Genomic DNA, 22263 nt, shown 5'->3' with positions numbered 1-22263 from the left:
CTTATAACTCGATAATAAAAAGACAATCTAACTATAAAACGGCTAAGGATTTGGATACACATTTTTCCAAAGAAGATGTACAGATGGGCCGGGCGCGGTGGCTCACGCCTGTAATCCCAGCACTTTGGGGGGCCGAGGCGGGCGGATCACCTGAGGTCAGGAGTTCGAGACAAGCCTGGCCAACATCGTATAACCCCGTCTCTACTAAAAATACAAAAAAAGTAGCCGGGCGTAGTGGCGGGCGCCTGTAATCCCAGTTACTCGGGAGGCTGAGGCAGGAGAATCGCTTGAACCCGGGAGGCAGTGAGCCGAGATCGCGCCATTGCAATCCAGCCTGGGCAACAAGAGCGAAACTCCGACTCGAAAAAAAAAAAAAGATGTACAGATATGGCTAATGAGCACCATCGGTCACGCGAAACTAGAATCAGCCCGCGTGGGGACCCCCTGCCCCGCCGAGACCGCCACAACCACGCGGCCGGGGTGACGAGTGCTGCGAGGGTCAGGGCTCGGGACCCTCGTGCGGTCGTGCTGTGCGGTCAGATGGGCCGCTGCTGCGAAAGACAGTCTGGCCGTTCCTTCAACGATGGAACCGTCTCCCTAGGAAGCAGCAGCTCCGTGGCGGGCGCCCGCGGCAGTGGAACAAGACACAGGTTCAGGCTGGGACCCGCAGCCGCGAGGCAAGCGCCGCCCCCAACCCGGGGCTGAACCTGCGAGGGGCGCCCGGAGCGCGGGCACCCGCACGGCGCAGCCGCGTTCAGCCTAAAAGCAGCGAGCGCGGACTGCGGCAGCGTGGGTGCGGGCTGAGACGAAAGTCAGAGAATTCAGACACGAAAATACACAGCATGGGAATCCATTCACAGGAAGAGCCAGAACTGGCAACTCCATAGGAATAGAAAGTAGATGCACGGTTGCCGGGGACGGGGGAGGGGGAGGGAAACGCGAGTCACTGCGGATGGGGACCGGCTTCTTTTTTGTTTGTTTTTGAGGCAGAGTCTCGCTCTGTTGCCCGGGCTGGGGTGCAATGGCACGATCTCGCCTCACTGCAACCTCTGCCTCTTGGGTTCAAGCGATTCTACTGCCTCAGACTCCCGGGTAGCTGGGACTACAGGCGCTCACCACGGCCGGCTAATTTTTGTATTTTTAGTAGAGACGCGGTTTCACTATGTTGGCCAGGCTGGTCTCGAACTCTTGACCTCAGGTGATCCTTCCTCCTCGGCCTCTCAAAGTGCTGGGATTACAGGCTTGAGCCACCGCGCCCGGCCGGGCCCAGCTTCATTTTAAGGAGGTGAAATGCTCTGGAATTAGATAGTGGCCACGGTTGCTCGCAACAAAACCCCACCGAATCGTGCGCTTTAAGCGGGTGAACTTAACGGTCTCAATAAAGATGTTAAGGAAAAAACAAAACCAGAAACCCCACAATTACTGCAGGCATAGGGCTCGCTGCCCGGGTCTGGGTGCGGGACGGAGGGGCTCACGCCCGCCCCCAGAGTCCAGCGCCTGCTGGGAGAAAGGGCAAGTAGGGGGTCCGGCCCTGCCGGCCTTGACCGCCTGCCTCCGACTCCCGGCCGCCGCGCAGCCCAAGCTCTGGGGAAGCGTTAACCGCGGGTCGCTGCGGAGGCCCCACCGCGGGGCGGGGCCGGGGCCGGACGGTGAAGAGGGGGCGAGATCAGGGCGGGGCCTAGGCTGGGGCCGGGCGGGGAAGCGCTCGGGAGGGCGGCTCGGGGGCGGGTCAGGGGCGGGGCCGCCAGGTCAAAACGCATCCATGACGAGCTTAAGGCGGCCTCCAATCAAGGCCGCCGCGGCCTCCGGCTCCGCCCGCTCCGCCTCTGCCTCCGCCTCCGCCTCCGCCCTGCCCTCACGGGCTTCTCTCCGCCCCATTCCCTCTCGGCCACGCCCACCACGGCCCACTGGCCAGGGAGCCGCTACGCAGATGTTTTCGCCTCTGCGGGTGTAGGCTCCGGGTCGGGCTTCCGGGTCCCTTTCCTGGCTCTGGCGCCTTCCAGCTGTGTGACCGGGCGAGGCCCTGAGCCTCTTGAGGGTTCAGTGCCCTCCTCCGTACAATGGGCCAACAACAGCCCCTTCCCTGGGGATCTCGGTGAGGGTTGGTTGCTCTGCAGGGTGCCCTGGGCCTGTGCCAGCGCGCTCAGGCATCCTGGTGACCAACCACAGCTGGCACTGGTGAACGCAGCCTCTTAGCCCAGGCAGGCTCTGGTCAGCCTCACCTGCTGGGACCGCTGAGTGGTCCAAGAGCTGGCTTGGCTGACTGGGACCTGGGCCTCAGCTTCCCCATCTGTGCAGGGGGCCGCTGGTGATACCGGTCCCTGCCATGCCCTGGTGGAGATATGGCCCAGTGAGACTTCGTGAGGGGTCTAGGCCACTGCTGTCACGTGGTACGTCTTCTACCCTGGCCCCTAGGTGGCCCTGGCCTCAGCCTTGCTCTAAAGAGGAATGAAGCCCAGCCCACAGCCCCTTAGCACAGATACGCTCGGGAGACGGGACCCTCACCGTTACTCATCTCCTTACTGTTCCCTGGACACCTTGGGGTCCCTGCGCCTCTCCACCCGTCCCTGCCAGGTACTCTCCTCCTTCAGTCTGGAGCGCCTCCTCCCTTGGGGGTCCCCTGTGCCTATTGAGAAAAGATGGCATAAAAGCGTGAGACAGGAGCCCGGACCAGGAGACCCGAGGGTGCTGAGCCCCACATTGGGCCGGGTCCACATGGAGACACACGCTTGGCTCATCCCAGCCGGGGCTGTCTGCCTGCTCCAGTGGGAACCTGGGCAGGGGTACTGTCTCCAGGGCTCTATGCTGGGCGGTCGTCATGAAATACCTGCTTTCCCCACACGCCCCCTCCTTTCTGAGGCAGGTGCCGCTGTCACGCCTGCTTTGAGGGGAGGAGTCAGAGATGAGTAGAGTGGGGAACTGCCTGGGTTGAGGGCAGAGCCGGGAATCAACCCTCAGAAGCCTGGCTCCAGCCGACCCCTGACCAACCTCCCTTCTTGGCCTGCTCTAGTCCCTGTGGACCCTCACCTGGGCTCCCCTTGCAAATCACCCTGCAGCCCCCTGGGGTGCAAATGCCTGCCCCCACCCCTTTGCCTGTCTCTCTCCTGCGCAGCCTTCACTCTCAGCTCCAAGGTCACCGCCCCAGCTGTGAGGGTCCCATTTGGTCTCTGTGGCCACACACCTGTGTTTCTCACTCAATAAGTGCTTTGTGGGATACACTTTGCACACTTGTCATTGTGAATCACGGATGATAATTTGTTCAACGTGTGCCTCCCCTGCCAGGCTATCAGCTGGCTCCAGGGGGCCAGGGCTGGGAATGGCGTGGCACCACTGTCCCCCACCTCTCAGGCAAGGCCAACACACAGCAGGTGGACAGTGACCATTTGTGGACTGGCTACACAACCTACTGACCCATTCCCTCCCTTACGGGGATGGAATGAATGATCCTCACTCTTTGATCCCTGTTGCTCAAATTTCCTTCAAAAGATGGATGTGGCTTCCCAAATATCTTGATCCCAGGAACAGAGGACTTGGATCCCAAGTGGGAAACGCTCAGGCCCTGGAAAGGCTTTCCCATGGTCAGTGAACATACAAGCCTTCCAGCTTATAGATCAGTCTTGTATAAGTCTAGCTGCATGAATCATTCCTCAGATCGGCTCTGGGTTCTAAGTGGAGTTTCTTGCCTGGGGAGCTGATGTCATCTCTGGAAGGGGGTGACCACTGCTAACCAGAGGGTGCCCATCTCCCAGCCCCATGGGGACACCTGGTTCTTGGTCATGAGAGTCGGGTGCAATGGAAGGGATGTTTAGAAGGCTTTGCTCAAACATACCCTTGCGTGTCCACATGCCTGTGGTCACAGTTTCCTCCTGTCTGGCTGAGTGTCTGGGACAGAAGTGGAATTCCATTGCAACGAGGCTGACATGGCTGATGGGACTGCTCCCTCTGCCACTCATACCTGAGACCCCAGACACTGTAGAAAGAACGCAGCCTTTGCAGCTGGGCAGCCACTGTGGGTTTTGTTTCCCCAGGTCCTCCTGCTCCACCACAGGCCATCTCCCTGGGCCTCATCCAGACAGCTGGACACTGAGCACAGCTCTGTTGTCCTCTTCCCTGGGCTGAGTGGACTCAGAGGTGCTGGGGACTGCATGGCCGCCGGACGAGGCGGGGGCTTTCCAACCCAACACCACCGAGCCTGCCTCTTCCTGCCCTGGATGCTATGTCTTCCATAGAGCCGCTTTTCCAACACAGCAGGTAGGAGAGGTCGTCACCTAATTAACAGCTCTCATGTCCCCTCCCTTTGCTTTCTTCCTATTTGGGGGAAATTAACGCTATTAAGGTTCTGATCTAATTATTTCCCTTCTGACCAAAGTAGCCTGTGGTTGCAGAAAATTAAAAGTTGGGCTTCAGGGGAACCCCCCATTGAAGGCAACCTGGTGAGGGTGTCCCCAGGCCCAGCCACCAGGCTTGCAGCCAACACATCACACCTCTAGGGGGCGTTTTCCACCCACTGTTTGGACCCAGATCTTGGCTCCTGTCTGAACTCTGCTGGAGGGAACCAAGGGAAGGCGTTTCCGTTCCCTGGGAACCTGCCCACCACGAGGGGGCCACTCTCAGCTTTCAGAAAAGAAGTTCAATTCTTCACATGGGGCATCGGAAGACTCACCATGCTGACTGAAAGGCGGGCTGGTTGTGGCTCTGGGGCAGCGCCCATGATGCCCCCAGCACTAGACTTGGACAATTATTGTTCCCACGATGTCCCCTGCAGGGCCAGGCCACGGCCCCGAGAAGGAGGGAGCTGCAGCGTGCTGGCTTGGCTGCCGCACTCTCGACCGCCTGAGGGGGTTTTGGCTCTTTTCAGGGGTTGCCAGATTTAACATAAAAATACAGGATGCCCAGGTAAATTTGAATTTCAGAAAAACATTGAATAATTTTGTAGTGTAAGTATGCCCCAAATATATATATATATATATATATATATATATATATATATATGTTTGACCAAAGCCTTCTAAACATCCCTTCCACTGTACCCAGCTCTCATGACCAAGAACCACGTGTTCCCATGAGGCTGGGAGACAGGCACCTTCTGGTTAGCAGTGGTCACCACCTTCCTAATAAAATAATATGATATAACATAGCATAATGTAATATAATCCATGTATATATTCGGGACATACTTATACTATAAAATCATTCACATTTTAATTATCAAATTTGAATCAAATTTGAATTATCTGAAATTCAAATATAACTGGGCATCCTACCTTTTATCTGATGATTCTGCTCCTTTTGCCTGAATTACCTCCTGGTCAGCAGCTTGATTTGACTTGAAACGTGGGGCCCACCCAGGTCCACAGCGTCACCTCTGCCCGATGTGAGCTGCATGACTGAGGGGCAGGGTGGGCGGTGCTCTCCCTGCCGGGTGCTCCTTAGGGTCTGTAGAGGGAGGGAGAGAGGCAGGCCATGATAGCCCAGGGGAGACCCAGGACCTGGCTCTCCAGGTACTGCTTTTGTGGGCGCAGAGGATTCCTAGGTAAGGGTGCCTAACTGATTTCACCACGCCTGCCTTGATGGACAGATTCTGCTGCGTGTTTCTGCTGTGAGAAGCCATGCTGTCCTGGAACCCCCGTCCACATGCACACCTCTTATCCTCTGTGGGATGGGACAGTAGGAGGAGGAGGAGGGCTTGAGTTCTGATAGACCCAGGGTGCTCAGAATGCGGGCCCTGCAACGGCAGACTCAGCCTCACCCGGAGACTTGTCAGAAATAGGTATTCTTCCCACATGTGCACATGTGTGTATACATATACACACACACCTGTACTGCCTGCCATGGTACAACACATGTACAACACAGGTACGACACATGCACACACACGTGCACACATGTACACAACACACGTACATGGACACACACATGCACACCCAGGTGCACACACATGCATGTGTATGACACATATATACACACACACACTCGTGTACACGTGCACATGGGCAGCACACCCAACACACAGCTCTGCGGCATCAGACGCTTTGGGGCGGGGCCCAGCACTTCTCCAGGGCTGGTGGGTGCGAGCACCACAGTGGGAGAGGCCACGCAATTGCCACTCGAGCTGTTTTTAAGTTGGCTCACATGGGCTGGGGGGTGCGGGCTGAGCTGCTTCTCATTGTCTTTTTCCAATCTGCTGGGGGAGAGGAGCCTCATGTTTCCTGCCTGCCATGGGGTGTGTGGTCCTTTGAGTTCTCAGTCACCGCCCCATTGTCACCAAGAACCAAGCTCAGCCAGGGACAGTAATCCCAGCACTCTGGAAGCCCGAGGTGGGAAGACTGCTTGAGTCCAGCAGTTTGATGTCAGCCTGGACAACCTAGGGAGCCCTCCATCTCTACCAAAAAAAAAAAAAAAAAATTTCCTGAGTGTGGTGGCACACACTTGTAGTCACAGCTACTCAGGAAGCTGAGAAGGGAGGATGGCTTGACCCTGGGAAGTCGAGGCTGCAGTGAGCTGTGATTGTACCGCTGCACTCCAGCCTAGGCAACATGAGTGAGACCTTGTCTAAAACAAACAAACAAACAAAAAAACAGGCTGAGCTGGAAGGACCTTTGTCCAGCCGGCAAATGGTGACTTCGAGAGCCAAGGGGCCGCACCTTCGTCCTGACCTGTTCAGCCGGAGCCCAGACAACAAGGACCAAGCTGTCGGGATGTGGGAGCGTGTTCCTGGTCACTCTCTGCCCGTGCTGTGCCAGCTCTTCACGGCGCAACATCACTTATGCATCATAGTAACCTCCCGGTAGAGCCACTGCTACCTCCATTGCAGATGGGGAAACTGAGGCGCAGGAGCACTGGGTAATGTGTTTCCTACATCAGGTGGAGGAACCAGGCGGAACCAGGCATGTGCTGAGCCCGCGCTACCCCAGGGCCCATCACCTGGCCTCACCTTCCCTGAATGGTGGGTTTGAGGGGCAGCTGTCCTTTCTCCTGCCTGGGAAGGGCCAGTCTTGTCCATCTTGCTCCCCTTCCCGTGGCCCCCTGGGAGTTTTCTGCAGGCATGGCAGGAATCATCTTCTTCAGGAGAGGTGTCAGATAGCTGAGGGTGGTAGACAGTTGGGGTGCAGGCTGGGGGGTCACCCCAGGGACCCTGCCTAGAGCAAGAGACCAGCTCTCAGAGGCGATGACGTCCGGCAGCAAGGACAAGGCTTCTCAGGTTCCTAGCCGGCCTGGGCCCTTGATCCCAAGAGGCTGGAGTCTCACTGATGTTGGCCGTGGAGCTTCCTGCCCAGGCTGACGGGGAGCCTGGCGCCAGCAGCGCCTCTGCCCATGGAGCCAGCCTCTGCTTGCATGTTCCAGATAAGGCTCTGACACGGCCATCTGTGGTCCATGAAGCCAGCCTCTGCTTGCATGTTCCAGACAAGGCTCTGACATGGCCGTCTGTGGTGAGTGTCACGCATCATTTCACACCGCTATTCTCATCTCCGCGGATCCCTCAAAACCCTGGGACAATCACGACTTTAAAAACACCCAGGATGGAGACATTACACTTGAAAAATGCCACGGAGGCTGGCCTGGCTTCCCAGAGGTTTCAGCTCTCCAGTCGGGTTCCTGTGGGTTCACAAGGGGCAGAATTTATTTTTTAAAAAGATGGAAACTTTCCCCATTCATTCAGCTTCTAAAGTCCAGCTCTGCTTTTTTTTTTTTGTGCAACAAAGGGAAATTATTCTTTGGGTCAACACAGAAAACAGCCAATGTCCTCTTTGTAAAAGGAGCAATTCTTTTCATAGGCAAGAAAAGTCCTTCTGAAGTAAGTCCCTCTGCCCCAGCATGTCCCCTAACCTGGGCTCTGCAGCACCTGGGCTTTGGATGCGTTTTCTGTTGACTGTTAGGAGGGAGATGCTAGGGTTTCAAGGGCCAACCCAGTGGGTGTCAACTGCAGCTCCATGAGGACAACATGGAAGGGAACAGAGAGATGTGAGCCAGGCTCCCGAGTACCAAGCGGGCTTGAGGCAAAGGGTGTTGCTTCCCCTTCTGGCAACATTTCAGAATCTGGAGGGAAGGAGGGAAGGCCTGAGAGCTTCTGGAGAGGAACTGAGTGCCCATAGGACTCAGAGCCAGAGTGACAGCTGCTTGGATCAATGACGCTGGATGCTTGAAGACAAAGTTCACAAGGAACCAAGAACCTCAATTGCAGCCCACATCTTCTCATGTGAGGACAACGTGTCTGCCAAGACCTGGGGTGCTCAGTGCACCTGAAGCACCTGAGCCACAGCAGCTGGGAAGGAGGAGGCCACGGGGACGCAAGGACATGGAGAAAAGGTGAAAGCTGAGAGTGGAAACAAACAGGGCACAGAGAGCCAGTGCTCCGCAGAGTCTGGTTTACACGGAAGGGTTTAGAATGGCATTGTATTTCCTGCCCTTGGACACAAACGTAGCACTTGGCTTCTCAAAAGATGATATTTAAATCGTCATAATACTTAAGTGCTGTTTATCAGGATGGCCTGGTGTATTAGTCTGTTCTCACACTGCTGATAAAGATATAACTGAGACTGGGTGATTTATAAAGGAAAGAGGTTTAAGTGACTCACAGTTCCACAGGGCTGAAGAGGCCTCAGGAAACTTACAATCATGGCAGAAGGGGAAGCAAACACGTCCTTCTTCACGCGGTGGCAGGAAGGAGAAGTGCCCAGCAAAAGGGGGACAACCCCTTATAAAACCATCAGATCTTGTGAGAGCTCACTCACTGTCACAAGGACAGCAACCTGGGTAACCGCTCCCGTGATTCAGTGACCTCCCCCTGGGTCCCTCCCATGACACGTGAGGATTATGGGAGATACAATTCAAGATGAGATTTGGGTGGGGACACAGCCAAACCATATAACCTAGTTAGAATCATCCTATAGACGAAAAAGGAGGTCTCAAATGTATGATTGAACGAAGGCAAATGTCCAAGATCTTAACAACGTGAAGGGGACATAAGGAAAAGATGAGGGTGGGAATGCGGGTGGGAGGGGACCCAGGCTTTCCCTCCGTGGGAGTAGTCAGAAGTCACCAGCCAAGAAGCACAGCTCCAGTGCATTGCTTACAGGTATGAAGTATCCACCGGCCATCTGAAAATAATGCAGTAACTAAGAAAAACAGTGGCGAGAGGAAGGAGTGTCGATGCCCCAAATGGATCATCTTCCAGAGCACGTCTACACCGAGATCAAGAATGAAAAGGTGGGAGCAGATTTAAGGCTCTTGGGCAGCTCTGCGGCCTGCTGTGTTGAGTGTCCTGGTGAGCAAATCTCTCAGGTCTGGGTGGTCAGGCTGGCTGTGGCGGCGGCCAAGGCAAGACAGATGGGTATTGTTGGGCCCTCCTGGACACACTGCAGCCTTGGGACACAGGCAGGTGCTGGCTACAGTCAAGTGGCCTCTTGTCCTTGCTGCGTCTGACCCCCCATCCAGCCTGTGAGCCCTACCTTCCTCTTGGGGCTAAGCAGCTGGAGGCTAGGCTTCCCTCTCAGGGCCTCAGACAGTGCAAGCCAGAGGCGTGGGCAGCTGACCAGGCTAGGAGCACTCCTGGGCCACCTGGGCTCCCAGCAGGGTGGGGGGCTTGTGCCTCTGCCCACGCTGCAGCCACGTGGGCTCCTCTCCTATTCGCTGGGAGCTGGAGCAAAGCATCAGGCTCTGTGCCCTGCAAGCCCAGAAATGCCTGTGGGCACTGGGGCCTGCCTGCTGGCGGAGGCTGAGCTGACTCCAGGAGCCCTGGGGGTGGGTCCCGAGCTCCGTGTGGAGGTGCACAGGCTTGACGGCCACGTGAGAACCCAGATGCTGCGGTGCTTGCTGGGAAACTCCGGGAAAGGCTCTACATGGCCTTTGTCTGACTTGTCTGGGTAATTAGGGAAAACGTCTTCCGGTGGGTTTTTGTTTCCCTGAAGTTTCTGGTGATTGAGCTCCTGGGAAGTGAGGCTGGTTTTTGCTTGGCTACCTCAGGGCCTCAGCAAAGCCTGGAGGGGCTTGGCGGCTGGTGGAAAGGGGCCTTTTAAGCCGCTTCCTCTGGGACTCACGGCTGCGCTCTCCTGGTGGGGCCGTCGCAGGCTGAGCGTGACAGGCAGAAGCTTCTGCCCAGAGTCTCTGGGTCTGTGATGGTTGACAAGCCCCACAGGGCCCCTTTCTCTTCCCCTGGAATAGTGGGGTTGTGTGTGGGTCTCCACCCAGGCCCAGGGGTGCAGGGGCCCTCACAGGGCACAGGGGTCCTCGGGGGGCGTAGGGGTCCTCAGGGGGTGCAGAGGCCCTCGCAGCACTTGCTGTTCTTCCAGGTCTGGGCAAGAGGCCCCGCCGCGTTCCCTTAATTCTCAGGTCTTTGGAGTGAATGCCTAAGGCCTCCAAGCCCCGGGTCTCCTCTGTATCAGGCGCTCACGCTGTGGGAGCTGCTTTCTCTCTGCTCCACTTCTACAGAGAAAGAAAATCACAAGCATTTCCCACACTTCCCCCAAGCCTTGACGTATCACAGTTCACTCATGGAGTTGTCAACAGACACAGGCACACACAGACCAGACTGTGGGCTCGGGAGGCGGGAACAAACCCCTCCTTCAGGAGACCTGGCAGCAGGCCAGGGGGCGCCCCAGGGCCCACCCAGCGCAGGGGCAGGCAGCCGCTCCCTCCTGCCCCTCGCCTGCTCCAGCTGTGGGCACTGGGGGCTGCCCCTGGCCCACCCCGCCCTTCATCCCCTCACCTCTGCCTCACCCCATGCTCCATCCCTCCCATGTCTCACCCATCCCACCCTACCCTCACCCACCTCCACCCGCCCATCAATTCCCCCACCTCTGCCTCACCCCACCCTCCATCTCCCCACCCGGTCCCACCCAGCCCCATCCCACCTTCCATCCCCCACTCCACCCCATGCTACCCCACCCTCCATCCCCCACCTCTGTCCCACCCACCCCATTCCCCTCACCCTTGTGCCCCGACTCTCCAGCCCCATCCCTCCTCCACCCAGGTTATCCTTCCTGCGGTACTTGGTGTGTTTCAGTCTTTAGTAAATTTAAAATAAAATGTGGAATTTTCCCTTCGTAACTGTTGAATCTGGATGCTGTGCACACAGGTGCATGCGATACTAGTCTCTCGACTTTTCTGTCTGACGTTTTTCATAATACAAAGTTGAAGAATATAAACAGCTGTCTCTATGCTGATGGAAACGATTATTACAAAAACTGAGCCAGTCATCGCGCACACAGCAAAAACACTCTGGGATAAAAGAGTCCCTGCTGAAAAGTATCCCCCACCAAGGCTGCCTCCGTTAGGAGAGCTGAATCCCTGCCCCGGGAGGCCTGGGTTTCTGCCATTCCCTAATCAAAAACCAAACAGGTGGAATCCGGCCTCCCCACACTTGCCTCCCTCCCTCGCAGCGTGGCCCGTCCTAGAGGCCAGGCTGTGTTGGCCCCTGGAGATCTGGCCCGGTTAGCACAGTTCTGCTGGGTGCAGGTGCGGTGCCCAGAGCCGTGCTCACGCGGCTGAGAGAGAGGCAGGGGAGAGCCTGAGGCAAGGGAGTCCTTGCTGGGTTGGGAGCTTGAGGAAGGCGGCCCCACCCGAGTGGCCACTGCCAGATACGCTGCCCTCTGCAAGGGGCTTCCTTGGCTTTCGGGCAGGTGATGCCCTAGGATCAGCTGCTGCTGATGCCAGCGGGTGTTGGTGGGGAGCACCCAGCTCGTCACCCCTGGGTGGGAGGCTTATACACCCCTCTTGAGGGCCCTGGAGGGGCTGAGCCCCAGCAGCCCCAAGTGTCACCTCTCTTCTTCCTGCACCTACTTGTGGAGTGTGGCCTGGGGAACACTGGGCCCACCGCTTCTCTCTGAACAGCCACCTCTGTGGGATCGGGGGCTCCAATAGTGGCCAGGTTAGGCACTTAGCAGACTGTGGGCAGGGGTCCAGGAAACCCCACAGCGGGAGCGAGGAATCTGACTTTGCAGCGAGGAGGACGCAGCGGCCAGGATGTTGGGCCAGGCCAGTTCCTTTTGATTTTATTTATTTTTGAGATGCAGTCTCACTCTGTCGCCCAGGCTGGAGTGCAGGGGCGCGATGATCTCGGCTCACTGCAACCTCCACCTCCTGGGTTCAAGTGATTCTCCTGCCTCAGCCTCCCAAGTAGCTGGGATTACAGACACCTGCCACCACACCGAGCTAATTGTTGTATTTTTAATAGAGACAGGGTTTCACCATACTGGCCAGGCTGGTCTTGAACTCCTAAACTCAAGTGATCTGCCCACCTCGGTCTCCCAAAGTGCTGGGATTACAAATGTGAGCCACCGCGCCCAGCGTCTTTTGTGATTTTTGACACAACTTTCTTATTTCAGGAATTGGGATCCTGACACATCCACCAAAGAGCCTTTGAGTACTTCGAAATCACTTGGAACAGGTTCCTGCAAAGCAAACCCTTCTGGGCTTGAGGAGGAAATGGACCCGGAACATTCAGCCCATCTGAGCACAAACTTTCTGTTGACCTGAGAGGCTGAGGCCTTCCTGTTCCCCACTCAGACCCAGGAGGCAGCCTGCCCAGGGGGAGCCGGGGCATGGCCTACGAGCTCCTGGAGTCAGGCAGCTCCTGAGGGGCCGGATGGTCTTGGGCTGGCCAAGCCAGCCTCTGTCGTCCTGTGGATGGTGGGGCCTTGTGTACGCATAGCCTCTGCACAGGGGCACACTGTGGGTGTTTGGACGGACAGTGTCTCAAAAACCCAATTCAGGGCTTGACAGCAGATTTGTCCTCCACTCCATGTGCATATGAGCAAGGAGAGTTAATGCAAAGCTTTCTTCATAGCAGAAGGTTGAAAACAATGTACCTTTCTATCAGCAGAGCAGGCAAGGGGGATACTGTGTGTTTCCCACTGCTGCTGGGACAAATTATAACAAATGTAGCAGCGTAAACCAACGTCCATTTTTCATCTCATGCTCTGGAGGTCAGAGGTTCTCGCGGGTTCTTCTGGTTTTTCTGTTCAAGGTCTCATGAGGCTGAAATTGAGGTTTCAGCCAGCAGGGTTCTTGCTGGGAGGCTCCAGGAAGAACTGGCTTCCTGCTCTGACAAGCTGTTGTCAGAATCCAGGCCCTACAGTTGCAGGACCTGGGTCCCACATCCTTGCTGGCTGTTGGCCAAAGGCTGCTCCCAGCTTCTGGAGGCTGCTCCGTTCTCTGGCTCACGGCTCCATCCTCCATCTTCAGAGCAAAACCAGGTCATGTCCTTACCTCGACTCTCTCTGCCTCCGCCTCCTGCCTTATGGCTCGGCCTCCAGGGAGAAGCTGGCCAATGCGCTCTCTTTTAAGGGTTCATACGCTGGGCTCACTGGGGAATCCAGGATTGTCCCCCACCTTCACCTTAACCACAGCTGCCAAGTCTCCTTCCCCCGCCACACGTCATGGTAGCACATGAAGGGATTGGGATGCTGGCATTCTGCTTCCCACAGACACTAAGCTGCCTCTCTCGGCAGGAGGCGGTGCTGAGTCTCATGGGGAAAGAGCTCTGTGCTGCAGTGAGATGAAGAGACCTCGGCGCCGGTGCTGGGCAGGGAGAAGGTGTTACCGGTGGAGGGTCTGGACTGCAAGTTGTCCAGGTTCTTGGCATTTAAACAAAGAATTGGACAAAATGCACAGCAAAGCAAGGAAAGAATGAAGCAACGAAAGCAGGGATTTATTGAAAATAAAGTACGCCCCACAGTGTGGGAGCGGGAGTGTGCAAGGGCCCTGGATACAGAATCTTCTCGGGTCCAAATACCCCCTAGAGGTTTCCCATTGGCACTTGGTGCTCACCTTATGTAAATGAAGTGGTGACTGCAACCAGTCTGATTGGCTGCAGAGAGCAACCAATCAGAGGCTGAAGTGAAGTTACAAAGTTACACTCCTGGCCAGGCACTGTGACTTATGCCTGTAATCCCGGCACTTCGGGAGGCCCAGGCAGGCGGATCACCTGAGGTCAGGAGTTCAAGACCAGCATGGCCAACACGGTGAAACCCTGCTTTAGTCTCTACTAAAAATACAAAAATTAGCTGGGTGTGGTGGCGTGCACCTGTAATCCCAGCTACTCAGGAGGCTGAGGAATGAGAATTGCTTGAACCCAGGAGGCAGAGGTTGCAGTGAGCTGAGACTGTCCCACTGCACTTCAGCAAGGGCAACAGAGCGAGACTCTATCTCAAAAAGCAAAACAAAATGAAAACAAACAAAAAGCCAAAAAACAAACAAACAAACAAAAAACAAAGTTACACTCCTATGCAAACATCTAATTGGTTGCAAAAAGCAACCAATCAGAGATACTTTTAATTTTCCATCTGCCGGGTTTGCAAAGGGAGTAGCCTCTGGTCCTTTTGTTACTTAGGCCTGGAAAGTTAGAGTTTTCCTTTCAATTTAGAATTTAGTTCTAATAAGTCAGTGTGAAACAGCCTTAGGTTCCCTGACCAGACCCAATTCTCCTGATTCAAAGGGACAAATTGTCCGTAGGTGGGAGAGGAGGGACCAGGTTGTCCCATCCCTCTAGGAGCATGTAAACGCCTCCCAGGGCTGCCTTGAGGAAGAGGCCTGGGGCTGGGAGGACGTGGACTTTGCTTTTGCCTCCTGTGTGTGGCTCCACGTGCACGTGTTACCTACTGGAAATTATACTTTTTTTGAGACGGAATCTCACTCTGTCACCCAAGCTGGAGTGCAGTGGCGTGATCTTGGCTCACTGCAACCTCCGCCTCCAAGGTTTAAGCAATTCTCTGCCTCAGCCTCCCGAGTAGCTGGGATTACAGACTCCCGCCATCACTCCCGGCTATTTTTTTGTGTTTTGGTAGAGAGGGTTTCACCATCTTGGCCATGCTGGTCTTGAACTCCTGACCTCGTGATCCACCTGCCTCGGCCTCCTAAAGTGTTGGGATTACAGGCGTGAACCACCACGCCAGGCTTTATACTCTTATTTATAAGTTGTATACTTTTGAAAAACACAAAAAATGAAAAGACAAGACTCAGAACATGTCCCGGTCACGGCGCACATGGAGGCTGGTAGATTGGGAAGCTATTTTGGGCTTCTTGGCAAGTGATCAGTGAAGGCCTTTTAAAGCCGCCCTTGGCCCCTCCCTTGAGCTCAGCCCGGAGCCTGCAGGTGGCTGGCAGCATCCCTTAGAATTCTCCTTAGACTGGACATGAGGCTGGCTTTCCCGAGGGATGGGAAGGCGGCGGCAGGTACGCTTTGCAGGCCGCACCTCCATGGGCGGAGGCGGGCAGGGTGTCCGAGGCTGTGCCCGGAGTGGGGGCTGGGCCACACTGTTCTCACAAGTGTCATGTCTTGGGGTGTGGCACGTTGCATTCCCTCGGTGGCACCTGGGCTCTTCTCTGAGCAGACACCTCATCTGCCTGTGAGAGTCAACAGCAAAGCAGCAGCCAGGAATAAGCATGGTAGCAGGGCGGAGACAGCGTCGTAGCAGGGCGGAGACAGCGTCCTGTGCAGGGGACTCCACAGGTTTCCTCCCTTGCCCCTTCCTAGTCACATGGAGTTGGAGCATCTCATGGGGTGTTGGAGAAATACAATTAAAAACAAAATCTCTTGCTAACCCCCAGACCTCTCCACTAAGGCAGAAAAGAAAGAAACCCGTTTTGCCATTGATTGAGCATCAAACCAGGATGCCAGGTGCACGACGTGCAAGCTGCTGAGAGTTTGCAAAGACAGAGAGAAATCTCAGCCTGCACACAGCCGGGCGGATGCAGTCCGCTACGTGCATCTCTCCTTGAAAGACAAACAGGAGCTCGTCTTCCCGTGGGACGGCTTGGCGGCACCATTTGTCACACAGACGCCACCACACATCCACCTGGGGACTGGGGTGACCATCTGTGCCAGCTAATTGGCTTTATCCAAAGGAAAAACAAACTCCTCGTGTCTCTACGACGGGAGGTGGTTCTGAAGCACTGCGCCCGCCAAAGTCGGGCTCCTGGGCTTGGGCAGGGAGCGGGGAGGCAGGTGCCGCCTTCCTTGATGTCCACGTTTCAAAGATGGTGCATCCTGCCCCTGGGAAAGACATCCCTGGCTTGTGCCCAGGCAGGGGGCTTATTCAGCTTTTAAAAAGATTTACCCACATTTGGCTGGGCATGGTGGCTCATGCCTGTAATCCCAACACTGGGAGGCTGAGGTGGGCAGATCACGAGGTAGGGAGTTCGAGACCATCCTGGCCAACATGATGAAACACTGTCTCTACTAAAATACAAAAAATTAGCTGGGCTGGTGGCGGGCGCCTGTAGTCGCAGCTACTCAGAAGGCTGAGGCAGGAGAATCGCTTGAACCCGGGAGGCAGAGGTTGCAGTGAGCCAAGATCGTGCCATTGCAATCCAGCCTGGCGACAGAGCAAGACTCCATCACAAAAAAAAGAAAAAAAAAAAAAAAGATTTACCCACATTCAAAGAATCCACAACGAAGAGCTTTCTAACTAAAAGCCGAAAGAAAAGGGGTCTGTTTTCCCTTTTGCAGGAAAGAAGATTAATTTAAAAAATTTTTTCATTTGTGTCGACCCTTCCAGGGACCACCGTCAAACTGTCCGTCTGTCTCTCTGGCCCTGCAGCAGCAGGGATGAGCTCATGTCAGCACACAGGGTGCGGGAGGGTGGGTGCTCCCAGTCTCTGCCCTGCTCCTTCTCACAGCGGGGTGGTCCAGTTCAAAGTACAGACACCCTTGAGCCTCAGTTTCCCACCTCATGAAAGGCTGCGTGGCCAGTTCCTTCCTCAAGTGCTGTTGTTGCAGGGGCGAGACTGCAGAGGATTGGTGAGCACGGCGGACTTCAGCCACCACTGACACCGTGGCCTGTGGGCGGGGCCCCGGGGCCAACAGCTCCTGCTTTCTGAAGGGAAGGTGGGGGCTGTGGGGGCTGCAGGGGGTGGGTGTCACTCAGAGGGCAGCATGGCAGGGAGGGGACCTGTGGCAAGTTTTTGGATCAGAGGGGCAGCGACACAGGGCTAGAACCCTGAGGGTGAGCTGGGAATGGGCAGAGGAGGGCTCAGGGCCTCAGCTCTGCCTCCTGTCGCAGCTGCCCTGGCCAGGTGGCCCGGTGGGACGAGGCCTCCTGGTGGCAGACGCTGCCTCTCATGACTCTTGATGTGCCGAGAAGGTGTGGCCAGGGGCTGTCCTGGCTGGGGCTGGGATGCGGGACGGGGGCCAGGATCCCAGGGTGGAAAAGGGTGGATCTTAAAGTTCATGCCACATCCCCCAACCCAAGGCGGATTCTCTTTCTTGCTGCACCAGTCAGGGCCTGGGGAATGAACTGGCCACTCAGGGTCACGGGCCCACCATCCTCAGCTCCTCTCCCCATCTGTAAATGGAGACAGGGAGGAGTCATTGCCTGGGGCCACCGGAAGCCAGCAAGGCCGGGCCCCAGAGCCACTGCCCAAATGCAGGCTTCCAGGCCTTCTCCCAGACACTGCGGTGTGGGCGTCCGAGACCCAGAGAGGCAGCCTCATGCGCTGGGGCGGGGAGCCAGACGGAGGGTACCCAAGGCCTCCCGCACCAGCCTCATTGATGTGCTGTTCCCCACTGGGCTTGGTACACACAGTAGGTGCTCATTAAATGTGTGTTGAGTGAAACAGACAAATGCAAAGTGGCAGAGTGGGGGCTGCGAGGACAGGTACAGGAGCCCAGGGGCTGTAATCAGGGCCAGGCTGTGTGGTGCAAGGGCCCCGGAGAAGGAGTCATCAGCCTTGGGTCACCTCCTGCAGGCCAGGGTTCACGATGTGAGACAAGAGGCAGGATCACACCAGCCAACAGAGGACCACCCCATCAGACAGGCTGGGGACCACACCATCGAATAGGCCAGGGAACCACACCATCAGATAGATAGGCTGGGGACCACACCAACCACACCATCAGATAGGCTGAGGACCATGCCATCAGACAGGCTGGGGACCATGCCATCAGACAAGCCGGGGACCATGCCATCAGACAAGCCGGGGACGACGCCATCAGACAGGCTGGGGACCAAACCATCAGATAGATAGGTCGGGGACCACACCTTCAGATAGGCTGGGGACCACACCATCAAATAGACCAGGGACCAAGCCATCAGACAGGCCGGGGACCACGCCATCAGACAGGCTGGGGACCACACCTTCAGACAGGCTGGGGACCACACCATCAAATAGACCAGGGACCAAGCCATCAGACAGGCCGGGGACCACACCATCAGACAGGCTGGGGACCACACCATCAGACAGACCGGGGACCATGCCATCAGACAGGCCGGGGACCACGCCATCAGACAGGCCGGGGACCACGCCATCAGACAGACTGGGGACCACGCCATCAGACAGGCCGGGGACCATGCCATCAGACAGGCTGGGGACCACGCCATCAGGCAGGCTGGGGACCACGCCATCAGACATGCTGGGGACCACGCCATTAGATAGACTGGCCAGGGACCATGCCATCAGATAGGCTGGGGCAAAGCCATCAGACAGGTGGAGGTCCATGCCATGGGGCATGAGGTGGTGTCTGTCACCTGGTCCGGGAGCACAGTGTTGCCCATCCGTGCCACCTCCCTGAGGCCCTGGCAAGCATCATTCTCTAATGCAGACAGATGGCTGGGGCGCCAGCAGGAGCCAGACTGCCGCGGAGCAGGAACTGGGCAACTAAGGGTGATTTGGGCCGTAGAGAAGTGATTGATGTGGACAAATGGAGTCTGCAATGCAGGCCCCACGCCACCCTGGCTCCCTGTGCGAACCCAGGGCTCTGCTGCCCTGGCGGGGCTGACTCCATGGACGAGGTGGCTCATGTAGGGCTGGCTGGAAGTAATCATGTCACCCCCTGCAATCATGCCCCCAGGAGATTAGAATAGGACCCTGATCCCTCGTTTCTGTCCTATCCCCTCCTTTCCGTCCCATCTCCTCCTTTCTGCCTCATCTCCTCCTTCCTGCCTCATCTCCTCCTTCCTGCCTCATCTCCTTCCTGCCTCATCTCCTCCTTCCTGCCTCATCTCCTCCTTCCTGTCCCATTTCCTCCTTCCAGTCCCATCTCCTCCTTCCAGTCCTATCTCCTTCCTGCTCCCATCTCTTCCTTCCTGTCCCATTTCCTCCTTCCCGTTCCACCTCCCTGTTCCCATCTCCTCCTCCTGTCCCGCCCCCTCCTTCCTGTCCCGCCCCTCCTTCCTGTCCCACCCTCTCCTTCCTGTCCTGCCCCTCCTTCCTGTCCCGCCCCCTCCTTCCTGTCCCGCCCCTCCTTCCTGTCCCACCCCCTCCTTTCTGTACCTGTTGACCTCATCTGGGCTGCAGTTGGTGACTGCTCGAAGGGGTGGGAGGAACAGTATAAAGTCCTGTCCCCTTCCTGCCTTCAAGGGCACCCCTGAAGGACCATATCCACTGTGGACCCCCTTGGGATCAGCCGAGGTCTGTAGAGGTGACATTGCAGCCCAGCACCTCCCTCCTCCGCCCTGCCCTCCTCTGTCCTCCTTCCACAGGTGTGGCCAAGGGCACTGCCCAGTTGGCCTGTGACCCCCAGCTGAGGCTGCTTCCTGGGCAGCTGACTTCAAGTTTGTGACCTGAGCTCTCCAGGCCCCCGAGCGGCTGGTGCCTTGGCCCTGCAGTTCTGCGGCCAAGACTCCTCCTCTGGGATCTCGTCTTACCCTGCTGCGGGTGCCAGGGCTGCATGAAGCAAGGGCGAAAGTCCCCTTCGCCCGGGCGCTGCCCTCTGCCTGCTGTCCCCTGTGCTCCTGTTCCCCGTGGCTGCCCAGGGACAGGTGTGTGGGATGGAGGACGCGGGAGAGGCTGAGTCCTCCCCAGTGGACCCCCAGATGCAGACCCTGAGGCAAGGGAGAGTGAGAAAGTGAAGGAAAGAACACAGCTGGAAATGCAACCAAGAAGGAACCCCAGCCCGGACCACTGTGAGCAAGGAGAGCCGAGCCCCGGGGAGCCCTGAGACAGTGTGGGAGTGGAGGCCTGGGGCGCCTCCAGGCAAGGCAGCGGGATGTCTATGCCCCAAGCCCTGCCAGTCGTGGATGGAGACGCACACTTTAGTGCGGGCTCCAGAGACAGAGGGAGCCCCAGGCCGAGAGCTGTGGGTGCTGGGCAGGTGGGCATTGGCCAGCATTGCCCCCACTCATGGCGGGTCCACCTTAATTCGACGGGTGTGACACTCTCCTCACACATGTGCACATTCAAGAGGCAACTGTCTGTTTCTATAACTGGGTGCATTTCGGTCTGGAGCCGTCGAGCCGGGTGGTGGCCATGAATCCCAGGCAACTTGGGGGGCCCAATCCAGGGTTGCCTTTTGGGGGCCTTGGGGCGGCTAGTGCAGTTCCACATGCTGTTAAGGACCTTGAGATGGGAGATTATTCTGGATGGTCAGGGTGGGCACAGTTTAATCACAGCCCCTCTAAGAGGGACTGGGAGGGTCAGGGTCAGAGGAGGAGAGGGGACGACGGAAGGGAGAGAGAGGCTGGGAGATGCCGTGCAGCCAAGGAGGGCAGGAACCTCTAGAAACCACAAAAGGCGAGGACACAATCTCTCCCCTGAGGCAGAGACCCAGGGCTGCCCCGCACAGTCGCGCAGATCGTGTACTGCCCTGCTCCTGGGGCTCATTCACACAGGTTGCCATGGCTGTGGGGTCCCTGGGGCTGGGCTATCTGCCAACCTGGGGGACGCTGCACCCTGTTTTCTGTCCTGTCTACTCCAGCTTTTCACACTCTCTGTTGCCCTTGTCCTTGGGCATCTCAGTGACTCGAAGGAATTGGGTCTTGAGACACAGCCGAGCCTGTGAGCGCTGACCTGTGTAAAGAAGACACCAGAATGAGATGTCTCCACACACAGAGAGCTGCAGCCGATGCCGGCCGGTGACTTGGGACTTGGATGCTTAACAGGAGGCTCCCCCTCTCTTGGGAGGTGAGGATGGGGTTGGGAGCATGTGTCTCAGGGGCTGGCTTCACTCGCTCCTTAGCCCCAGCAGGTGCATCTCCCCCCTGCGAGGGCCTGGTTGCTGTAGTTCTTCTAGAAGGCCGCACTGAAGGGACCCTCTGATCCTCATGCCAGCTCTTAAGACATGCTCCACTCTTAAGACAGAGACAGGAGCTCCCGGGCTCGTGCACACCCTCCCTCTGCGCATGTCCAGGACTCAGGGTCACAGCGTGGGCTCGTGATCCATGGGGTGGGACTCCAGCCTGCTCTGCCTTGGGTTCTGAGGCCAGAAGCAACACTTCCCTCATGTGGGTCCTCACAGGGACCAAGTGGAAGACTGGCGGGGGCGGGGCCCCAGAACTCCACCCACATTTGCACACTCAGCCTTCCCACGCCCAGCCACAGCTTCCATCCATCATCATTGTCCTGTCATGGTGGTGAAAACCAAATCTCTGTCAAAGGAGTTTTCTCCACCCCTTTTCCTGAGGTTGTAGTTTGGGGAGAAGTTTTGAAAATTGCCTGTCCTTGCTAGTGGCTGGGAGTGCTGGGGCACCTTGTCCTTGGGTCTTCTGTTCACACAGACCCCTGTCGTGGCTTCCACAGTCCCCTCAGCCCCTGCCTGGAAGGAGCACGCAGGGCCCTCCGCCTGCCCCAGTGGAGGGAGCACAGAGCCCAAGCAGCCCCCCGGAACTTTCCCCAGCTCGGCCTCATGGTCTGGTGGTTTCTTCTCCAGGTAGAGAGCAGTGAGGAAGGGGACTCAGCCTCCATGCCTCCCGCCAGCCCAGCTGCGCCCGAATCACCTCCCTCCTGAAAGGATGTCAGCCTCTGCTTGGACACCGTGGAGACAGGGCCCTCCTTGTGCTTCAGAAGCATCAACGTGTCAGAAAATCATCTTCACGCCAAGTCTGGAAAAAATGGCTTTGAGGTTGTGCACACAAAGGAAGGAGGGAGAGCCCCAGGTGTCGCGGAGGACCATGCGGCTGACAGAGCCAGCAGGGCGGTGGCGTGTGAGCCGTGCTCTGGATATATAAGGATCTGACGCTGCTGGCAATGTCTGAGCTCTATGCTCGCCCATCTGTCGGCTGCTATCATCACCGGGTGGGATTAGCGGAGATCCACTCTTTCATATTTAAATCTTCACAAGAGAATGAATCACTTTTATAATAAAAGAAAAAGACCGTCCATGTTGTTAATGTGCACACAGCAAGTTGGAAGGCCGGGGAGGGCAGCGGGTGGGGACGCTGACCCAGGCGCCCCCCTGCTGCCTGGAACAGCCCCAGGCCTGCTCCACTGTCCCCTCGGGGTTCCCTGTCGAAGAGGCCAAAGAGTGGAGGGGCTGGTGCCTAGAGGGTGTGGAGCTGCAGGTGCACAGTACAGCTGGCACCTGGCAGAGGTGGTTCATTATCAAGCAAA

At 56.9% G+C, this 22263-nt stretch overlaps 2 long non-coding RNA genes across 7 annotated transcripts, besides 5 other annotated features; both read left to right on the top strand.

The window, feature by feature from the left end:
• Nucleotides 537-1083: an enhancer, noted in NCBI's record as "H3K27ac-H3K4me1 hESC enhancer chr20:61426422-61426968 (GRCh37/hg19 assembly coordinates)". NCBI's record gives its function as "activates a minimal SCP1, AML or CMV promoter by ChIP-STARR-seq in naive H9 embryonic stem cells {active_cell/tissue: H9 hESC(naive)}" and the evidence as "EXISTENCE:reporter gene assay evidence [ECO:0000049][PMID:30033119]".
• Nucleotides 1375-1964: a silencer, noted in NCBI's record as "silent region_13119". NCBI's record gives its function as "represses an Ori minimal core promoter by ATAC-STARR-seq in GM12878 lymphoblastoid cells {active_cell/tissue: GM12878}" and the evidence as "EXISTENCE:reporter gene assay evidence [ECO:0000049][PMID:35858748]".
• Nucleotides 1872-12935, top strand: LOC105372716 (uncharacterized). 5 transcript variants are annotated; one of them, XR_001754705.2, is made up of 4 exons: nucleotides 1872-2390; nucleotides 4029-4251; nucleotides 9077-9207; nucleotides 12324-12935. It is a non-coding gene; the product is annotated as an uncharacterized LOC105372716 (long non-coding RNA). The 5 variants fall into 5 exon arrangements; XR_936984.3 differs by having other exon boundaries at nucleotides 1872-2574; XR_936986.3 differs by having other exon boundaries at nucleotides 1872-2574; nucleotides 9077-9265.
• Nucleotides 2055-2124: an enhancer, noted in NCBI's record as "active region_18214". NCBI's record gives its function as "activates an Ori minimal core promoter by ATAC-STARR-seq in GM12878 lymphoblastoid cells {active_cell/tissue: GM12878}" and the evidence as "EXISTENCE:reporter gene assay evidence [ECO:0000049][PMID:35858748]".
• Nucleotides 2361-3055: an enhancer, noted in NCBI's record as "H3K4me1 hESC enhancer chr20:61424450-61425144 (GRCh37/hg19 assembly coordinates)". NCBI's record gives its function as "activates a minimal SCP1, AML or CMV promoter by ChIP-STARR-seq in naive H9 embryonic stem cells {active_cell/tissue: H9 hESC(naive)}" and the evidence as "EXISTENCE:reporter gene assay evidence [ECO:0000049][PMID:30033119]".
• A 6361-nt stretch (nucleotides 12936-19296) lies between the features above and the next one.
• LINC00659 (long intergenic non-protein coding RNA 659) lies at nucleotides 19297-22032 on the top strand. Of its 2 annotated transcripts, none has more exons than NR_046225.1 (3): nucleotides 19297-19347; nucleotides 20767-20838; nucleotides 21584-22032. It is a non-coding gene; the product is annotated as a long intergenic non-protein coding RNA 659 (long non-coding RNA). The 2 variants fall into 2 exon arrangements; NR_046224.1 differs by having other exon boundaries at nucleotides 20633-20838.
• Nucleotides 19829-19990: a silencer, noted in NCBI's record as "fragment chr20:61407515-61407676 (GRCh37/hg19 assembly coordinates)". NCBI's record gives its function as "represses an EF-1alpha promoter that drives an FKBP-Casp9 reporter gene in an ReSE screen in K562 erythroleukemia cells {active_cell/tissue: K562}" and the evidence as "EXISTENCE:reporter gene assay evidence [ECO:0000049][PMID:32094911]".
• Nucleotides 22033-22263: the final 231 nt, after the last annotated feature.

Source organism: Homo sapiens, chromosome 20 (assembly GCF_000001405.40).
Source record: "Homo sapiens chromosome 20, GRCh38.p14 Primary Assembly".
Taxonomy (NCBI): Eukaryota; Metazoa; Chordata; class Mammalia; order Primates; family Hominidae; genus Homo; species Homo sapiens.
The sequence above is the reverse complement of the archived record's forward strand: the minus strand, read 5'-3'. Positions and strand labels throughout refer to the sequence as shown.